Below are 9,302 nucleotides of genomic sequence, written 5' to 3' on the forward strand. Positions count from 1 at the left end.
TTATTGAGTAGGAGAAAAAAATCCCTATTTTGAAATTACTTACATGTGTTTTATATCCACTTTTACTTAAGCCCTTCAATTCAAATTTCCAAATCTTCTTTTTCTTTTTAAAAATTTCCACTTTTTATGTAAAAGTAGGACAGTTATCTTTCAGGAGACTCTGAATAAAACCTGACTAACCCAAGTTGAAAACACTAAATTCTGCTTTAAATAATCAGTTACATTTATAAACTTAATTAAATTACCTTAACATTTTCATTTACATGTTAACATTAACATGTATAAACTTAAAACACTTGATGTTTTAAACACTTACATGCCTTACCAATAAATTTATTACTCTAACAGGAAAAAGGGTCCCAAGTGTTTAAATGCTTAAATGGCTCTGAAATACATTTTAAAAAATTAGTATTTTTGAAAATAGGATTTTTAAACCTTTACTTTGGAAAATGTAGACCCTCATATATTTTAATTGGGAAGTTGATTCTTCCAATTATTTTTTTCCTGGTCTGTATCAAATCAGCATGAATTTCAAAGACAGAGCACTACTTTTTGAAGTATTGAAATGTAATTAAGCACTTAAAAATGAATATATGTTTCACTTTTACTTTTGAGTGATAATAGAAAGTATTTTGGTATTATTGGGAAGTTATCATTATGACAATTACTTACCACTGTCCTAATTCAGCTCTTTTAAAAGGTGTTGATAAGGCACTTTTGGGTAAAGCAACTTACATTTTTTGATAAAACATTTTAAAATATATTGTAGCTTACACTTTCCAGACTTTCATTAAATTCACCTATCTTTCTAAATATTTTTTATAGTTTCATTTTCATTGTTCCTTACCAGTCTTTTAGATGACAGAACATAAAAATATGTCAAAATAAGAATAATCAAGGGCTATGCCTCTATTTTCATTTATGCCATGTAAAAATATTTTTCTATATACAATATGCACATGAACTTTAGGTGGTCATGGGAAGTCAAAAGTAGCCAAGCAGAGATGAGTAGAATCAGCATTATTTTTGCTATCTACAGAATAAATAAAACACTGAACATGAGTCATTAGTTTAATTATGGAGTAGTAAATTACAAATAATTAATAATTAATTAAACTTAAGAAGTGAACATGAAAACAAAACACAGAGTTAAAAATAGGCTTCTTTGATAAAAGCAGAATATAAAAACACATTGCTATGATAATTTTGCTAATGGAACTGCTTTGAACCAGGATAGTGGAAAATGATAGAATCCCTTGATGGTCTGTAACTTCATTTTCTTTAAAGAAGGCAGGTAGATCTTTGGCATTGAGAAAAGAGGGAAAGAGTTATTTTTATAATACTGGATAATAGCTTGAAATCCAAGAGTTACTAAACGAATGCAAGGGACTAAGCTATCTTACTTTAATGCGGCAATCTGCATCTTTAAATCTTTGGCAGAAAATACTCAATGTTTCTTTATGTCTTTTATCCTCTTATTGTTCATTTGGTGAATCCCTGTATTAACTTTTCATTGTTTTGTTTCTCACACCAATACTATAGTTCTTGTTTACCAGTACTTCTATAACATTCCTTCTTTCCCGCAGGTAAGACAGGATGCCAGAGTGGCCTTATATTTGTGTAGTGAGAATTACACTTGGGTTACGGAATAAAGGAGAGCAGTCCTACTCAGATACCTACTGCGTCTGGGCTATGCTGGGCACCTCACCCTTTCTGGGAATTTTCTTTGTGGGCATGGTGGGACACATATCCTTTGTTTGCTTTTGAGCTCATTTCGTAGCTTCTGAAACACTGATCTGGTTCTTCCCTGAAAAAGGTATGACATTATCTCAGTTGAAAGAGAAAATATGTATCTTCTATGTTTTGAGCTTAGTTGATGTGAACATATTGACTTGGGTTGTCCAATCTCAAATTTCATAACTTTCCTGAATTTTGAACCATAAGATAGAAAATGTACTATGTAATAGCCAAGTCCAGGGGATGAAGAGCTATGCCCATTCATTATTGTCTTTCCCATAGTCATTCAGTGTCACATACAATAGGTTTTGATGCATATTTGTTGAACAGATTAAGAATGAAAACAGGAAATCAAATCATACCGTTTGTCTACCTCTGCTATTTATTGTGTTGATTCATCTCATGTAAAGCTGAGGCCTTAGTGCATGAAAAAAGTAAGTAAATGTATTGCTTATAAGTGTAAGATTATGCGTATGGAATTAGACAATATAATGCATGTCATTTTTTTTCTAAATTTTACTTTAAATCATGGTTAGTTACATATTGATGTTGAATTCATGGAAATATAAGAAAAATGACTATCACAAAAATTGAGGATTAGAATTTACAAGAACTAAACATTTTTCAATATTCTTTAACTGTGTTTTGAATATTTATTAATTTTAAGTTTGAATGGTTAAGGCTGAGCATTTCAATTACTGTTAATTTGTCTTCAAAAACAATTTTTATGTACAAACCAGATCATGTTCAATTTTCATCATTGCTAGCATCTCTAAAATGATTTCTATAAGACAGATAGAAAGAATATTAGAAAAGAGACAAAGGAGAAATAATAATTGCTAAAAAGATGGTAAAATGTTTCCTGTCAGTCTTTAGTTGATTTATTACTCACTTTCTCTACTGGTTTTGTAACTTACGGAAGAGTCTCAGAAGCTCTTTTACAAAACCTGGGCAGCCCTGAAGGGTATATGTACACATCCATATTTAAGCCTATCTGGTTTATTTATCATTTGGTACATTTAGAAAAAAGAAGGGAGTAAGGTGACTTATGATGTGGCTTATAATATGGTATTTATCATGAGAAGTAGTTATATTTAACAAACATAAACATTTCTGGTTTGACTGAAAATTTCCCTGTTGATTGGATAGGGAAAATACTGTGTGGTAGTGAAATATTGTTATTGTTTTTATTGTTTTTGCCATTTGGTTACTTATTTTTCATAGCTCTTTTCAAAAATTACATATTGGAAAAAGGCAAGAAAGCAATACTAAATTTTTTCCCCTATTTTGCAGCCTTTAAACTTCTCTAAAGTCAGTATGATAGTGGATGAAAGGGTATTTTTTAAAGTTTAAAACTTACAAAATTTAATCTTAGCTCATAGACTACTTTTCAACAGTATTAGCATTATTGCACATGTAAAGTAGCCAAAATATCTGAAAATCAGTGAGTTTCCTATATTCTTACTGGAAGGATGAACTCTGTCTTTCTTCCTCTCTTCCTTTCTCCGCCATATAACAATAAAACTCATGTATTGACAGTGATCTCAATGCATATAAGTGGTTTGTGTTTGGCTTATCACACTGCTCTTGAGAATGCACATTTTACATGTACATGTATTATTTAGTATTTATTATTCCATGGAAGAGACTCACCTCTTTCAGATATAGAAAGAGTTCAGAGAAGAGGTCACACAGAAATGGTTTATGCATTAATGATGGTTCTTTACCATCTTCATTTAGATTGTTTGTGAAATTATTTGGGGAGGGCAGTGTAATGGACTCCACTCCTTAATTGACAGAATGATCTAATGTATTCATGGCAGTTCTGTCAGTAGGTCAGGGCAGGAGGAAATTACTAATCTTCTTTGTAAGACACTAGAAAGTTTTCAGACTCTAGAGTATGCGTTACTGAAGCCTATTAGAACTTAAAATTCAGATTATTAGCATTAGTTTGATTCATTTGCTATGCCTCTCTATTTTAATATGGACTGTGCAGTGTATGCACTGAGTCTGTTAGTCAAGTGGAAACCAATAACATAATTTGATCCATATATCACCCTCTTGGATTTGAAGTTACAGTAATCCAATGGAGGATAAAAAATAGAAACTTCTACTTCTCCTATGTAAATAGAAAAAAATGATCAGCCTGGAATTAATGATTTTATTAGGTTTCTCTTTTAAAAGTTTATGACTATGTCTGCTTCATTTTTGTTATTAATTTGGATGAATCTTATATGCTTGTAGCTGCAATGCCACAGATAAAGATAAAGGAATGGGCAATGATAACAGGAAAAATAAAATCAACTTGAATGTCACTAAAAGTTGTTGGAGAAAGAATTTAGGACAGATAGATACTCTGGTATTCTCTAAATTCCATTAACATAATGGAAGAGGACTATGTGCACACGTGTGTGTGTGTGTGTGTGTGTGATCTTGATATGTTCACAGTTGGTTGAAGATAGATTGGCAGTAACAGCTGCCACCAATGTCAACAATCAAGTACAATGAAGTGTGGCAACCCCCCGACTGCTTTTCATTCAAATGAGTTATGAGTTCTCACCGTTTAGAGTCACTCTCATTTTTAAAAAAATCATAAGCCGAGTTGTGAGAATTGGGGAATATCCACCTGGCAGGGAAATTTTCATGCTTTGTGAAAAAAAAAAAAGCGGAAAAAAGAGATTACATCAGATCAATCAAAGTCACTAGAAAATGTGAAAGTGAGAAAAAAAAGCAGTGAGAAATAACAAAAAAAGCAATCCAGGCAAACCCATTAATGAGAATGAGTGTCAGTTTTTCTTGGTTCAAGGACTCTGCTACAATGGATTAGAACACGGAGCACCATATCAGAAATGCACAGAGGCAACTGCAGAGAGGCAAGGGGCCCACTCGACCCCCAACATCAAAGCCTACTTGGAGAAAAAAAAAAATGCTTGGTTACTTGTAGCTTAATCCAACATTACACACTTCTTTCAAACATCAAAACTGCTGCTCAGCCTTTGGATGGCTGGGCATTCTAACTACTAATCCAGCCTTAATTATAAAAATTTTATACTCCCTCAGTTTCCTGCCCCCTGTACCACCACATGCCTGCTGGGAAAGTCATGGAAAGCAGGCAAAAGGAAATTAGGGAATGCTGCGTGGTTAAAGGGAATTGTTGCTTACTTAGTGGTCACAGCCAGATAGTATGTTCTAGAAGCGTCTGTATGTAAAGATCTTTTTTATAGAAACACTAAGCCAATTTCAAATTGTCTCTATGTTTTGTGGGAAAATCATTCTTTTTTCCTTTCTTAACTCTCCCTAATAAGCTAAAACTTACTGTCACTCTGAGGTATCTTAAATGGCATCGGGGTCACACAGATCACTTCAGGCTACTTGTGTCAAAAGGTAAAGGATACACATTTCTTTTCAATCAGCTTTTACCCACAAACATTGATTTGTGGTCTTTTTGTACCCTCAGGGCTAAAAGCACATCCATTTGTGTCTATGTACTTGAACTTGAGTGATTTCAAGTTGGAAAGTTAGATAAATTACCTTGAGAGCAAAATAAATAAATAAATTATTCCAAGCACTTCCCATGAATATGGTAAGTTTATGGTTTCTTATTCTTTTCCTAATCATTAACATAACTTATCCTTTCTCTTCCCATAACATATTTCTAAATGCTTGTAGACAATTAACATGTCTCACTTTCAATTGTTTCTCCTCTAGCCTGAACATGCCCATTGTTCACAGGTCTGTCTTATTTCCAAACCTTTTATCAGTTCAGTTTGCTTTCCTTTGAACTTACTCCAGTTTGTCTTTCTTTTCAAATGTATGATATCCAAAACAGAACACAACACTCAAGTAGGCCTAAATGGAGCAACTCAAAGCAGTAAAAGTGCGTTCTTTCTTTATGCATTCCGCCTAAAATCTAGGTGCATTAAAGTCTTTGCCTTTATTGGAAATAGATTTTTTTAAATCCTGCTAAGTTTGTTGCCCACAATCTCTAGCACCAGACAGAGCCTTTGGTACTATTAAACTCCCTGTGCGTTAATATGAACAGATGATTCCTTCCTATAATTATTTTATATCTGATTTCAAGCTATTTTTTCCAATCCATTAAAAATCATTCTGTATTAATATCTCTCTTCAGTGGTATTTATAATTACTCTTATTTTTTTGGTTGCTTGTAAACAATAATTAAGAATTTTTTTGGTTATCTTTTGGATTGTGTTTCCAATTTATAACAACACATCATTGAATCATATGGTGGAGAAGACAGTGTATAATGTACATTTTCTCCAAACATGACATTGGCCTATTAGCAATTATTCTGGTGCCCAAAAGATCAGAAACAATAGACTATCCATCTTTTAGTAGTTTTCTCTAATCCGTATTTCTCTGGTTTCTCTATAAGAATGCCACCCCCTACTTTTGAAAAGAGGACAGGTGTTAAATGACAGCTGCACTAGGTCTCTTCTGGCAGTCTCCCAGCCATGAGGGGTCTCCTCCATCCCCTCTCCCACATCCCAATTCCCAATTCTCCTCACCTCCTTCGCAGACCATAGACATGTTACGGTTGAAATAGAAAAGGCTATAATACAAATTGAGATATATAATTTTTAATTATCAATAAAGCATTTTTATTTGAAAATTTACTAGAAAATGAATGATGACCTTAACATATGTATTCTTCAAGAAGAGTACTACATCTCAAATATTAATTCATGTTATCAAGTACATAGGAACAGTTACAAACAATGCAACTCTGAGGTATCACTCAATTTTTATAAAGCTTGAATATATTTTAAGCTAGATTGGGCTTTGGAAAGTAAGAACCCTCTGTAGTAAAGATAATAACACCAACATTATTTGGGAATCATATTACTATAAGAACTGTAGGTTTGAGTAAAATAATTTTTTGGAGGAAAATGTTTTTAGATATAAGAAATTCTCATAAATTTTTTCTATAGGTCATCTAAGAGATATCTATTCTGTGACGATACCTGGTGGTCCAGCTAAACAGTGGGAAAATAAATTCATTAATTCTGATCAGGGCTATGTCAACTTACTCAACAATATATCCCTTAAAGCCAAAAGAGAGAACTTAACCAACAGGATTCTGAGGTATTCAGATATCAGCGTGAAATTATTTTGAAATCTTATATTTCATCCAAAACATTCATGCAGATTTTGCATTCTGCTCTGTGATATGCCTGTGGTTGTTTTCATATAAAAGTAATGCTTTGTATTCAATACCAGTAACATTCTTGCCTTTATTATTTTTTCTTTGCTAAAAGTGTGAATCTAAAAATATAAATCACATTTATCCTGTTATTATAGGTTATAATCTATTCACTGGTTGATCATTTATCATCTGATTCCTGCTCCAGCATCTGAGTGCTTCTCATGGGTAGGGAGGGCCCAGAACAGTGATTGGCACCGAATGGGTGCTAAACAAATATATGTTAGGAGAATAAGTTAACCTCATGTGGCACCCTACGCCTCTGGTATAGAAACCTCAAGATGTTTTACACTCCCATGTGAGATGCAGGAATTTAGAGTGCCTCTGTGATCCAGATTCATCTCTTAATCTTGCAATGACTATATCATCTACCCAATTTGAACAAATTGATACAAATTATTTAAAATTCCTCTAGCTACATCACAGGACTTCAGATACTTCTCACATAGCCCTAAACACATTGTGCTCATGTCTGTTTGCTTGTCTGTTTTCTTCATTTAACTGAATGGGGAGGGAGGGAGAGCCTGAGGGCAGAAACTGCTTGTCATTTTTCCTTCTATGCCCATGGAAGGAATGACTGAAGGAATGAATAACCTCATCCATGAAGGAATGCATGATTCTGACTCAGAAGTCAGGTAAGAGAAAGTTATTTTTATGTGATTCATGATATGGCCCAATATTTTTAAAGAACCTCCATAATCTGATCATTTTTCAACCTCATTTCCCTTGCTATAATACACTGATCAACAGAGTATGTGTTTGGTACACAGAAAGAGCACAATAAATGCTAGGTTACATCTAAAGTAGTATCTGCATGGCAGCTAGAAGTGCTCAGTAAAGGCTATTCACCATTCCCTTTCTCTATTCGATAGCTTAAAATTGATCTTTTCCAAGCCTTCCCCACCAAACATACAGGTACCTCTACCCAACTCATTAACTTCAGCTCTTCACCTGTGACTTGCCTACCTGTACTGTGTTCTTCTTCCTCTTCACCTGTTTTCACACAAAGGCAGCCCAGTTTTCATCTCTTTGCTCTCAAGCTCTCCAGCCTCTTTTATTTTTCTCATCCAAGAATAACTATAGTTGATATAGCATAATATATTTAGCAATATATTGTTGCATTGTTCACAGTTCACTATAGGGATTATTAATCTTCTCTCTACAGCATTTTACATTCACTAGGATTGAAATAATATATAGACAGATAACAAGTATTCAGATATATTTTTAACAAATTTATAAATATCTTTTATGGTTCTCGATTTTTTTTCTTAGGCTATTATAGTTCAAAAGCTAATGAAAACATTATAGAAAAGAAGATTTTAAAAAGTCGCTCCCGTGAAAAATTATTTAAAATTCCTCTAGCTTGCAGACATCCATTTGGCTGCTTATTGGAATGAAAAGCCAACATGGTTTAGTTAAAGATTGAAATGTTCTCATATTTATTTGATCTGTGGGATCAGTTTTGCAGTTCTGGATGACTTTAAACTTCATGGGAGTCATTTTGCAGGAAATTGCAAATTATTCTGCATCAACTTTCTTTGTCTTTTATTCTATGCTGCCCTAACTTAAAAGGCAGTGAGACTCCTTTCTTGTCCTGAGGGCTGTTGTAAATTGATTTGGAGTGGGGGACTTGGAAGTAAGGGGGACTGCTTCTCACCCTCACATTTAAATTCCTCTTCACTTCTTCAATACCTTGTCTGTTCTAATAACAAATGCTTTGAGTTAAATGAATTAGTTTTTATTTTAGAGTATTTAATTTTCTTTATTTAGAGTGTGTTTAGACATTTAAAATTTTTAAACATGCTCTTTTTGATACAGTCATAATATCATCATTTATGTATTAGTTATATTGCACAAATACTTTCCAGAAGTTATAGCAATATCCTCTACTGTTTACTTAGTACTTGTTTCTAAAGAAGATTGAATTAATCTTCTAAAAAAGAACCTCAAGTACCTGTGTTTCTTGTCTGTTATTATACTCATAGCAGATTGCCAATGTCCTAGAAAGACAAAACGTCCAAACTCCAAAGAAAGAATACAATGTGCTCTTTCCACATGTTGGCCGGCAATAATAGCTGAAGGGTGTAGAAGCATGTGAAGATACAATTTCATTTTTCCCAAAGCTTTGTTGGAGGTATAGAAGAAAGTCTAGACATGATACTGGATTAAGAACTAACAACAAGAAGTTAGTGGATTATAATAGCAGGAAAGAATAATCTTCTGAATACTTTGTTGGGCTTACCTTGTATGTCAAATGTCAGCTCTTTTTTCTGCATATTTTCTGAAGACAATAGCATTGTTGATAGTTTTGCCTGAGCATTTGCAAGGATGCTTTGTT

The sequence above is a fragment of the Homo sapiens genome, chromosome 4, assembly GCF_000001405.40.
Source record: "Homo sapiens chromosome 4, GRCh38.p14 Primary Assembly".
In the NCBI taxonomy this organism is placed as follows: domain Eukaryota; kingdom Metazoa; phylum Chordata; class Mammalia; order Primates; family Hominidae; genus Homo; species Homo sapiens.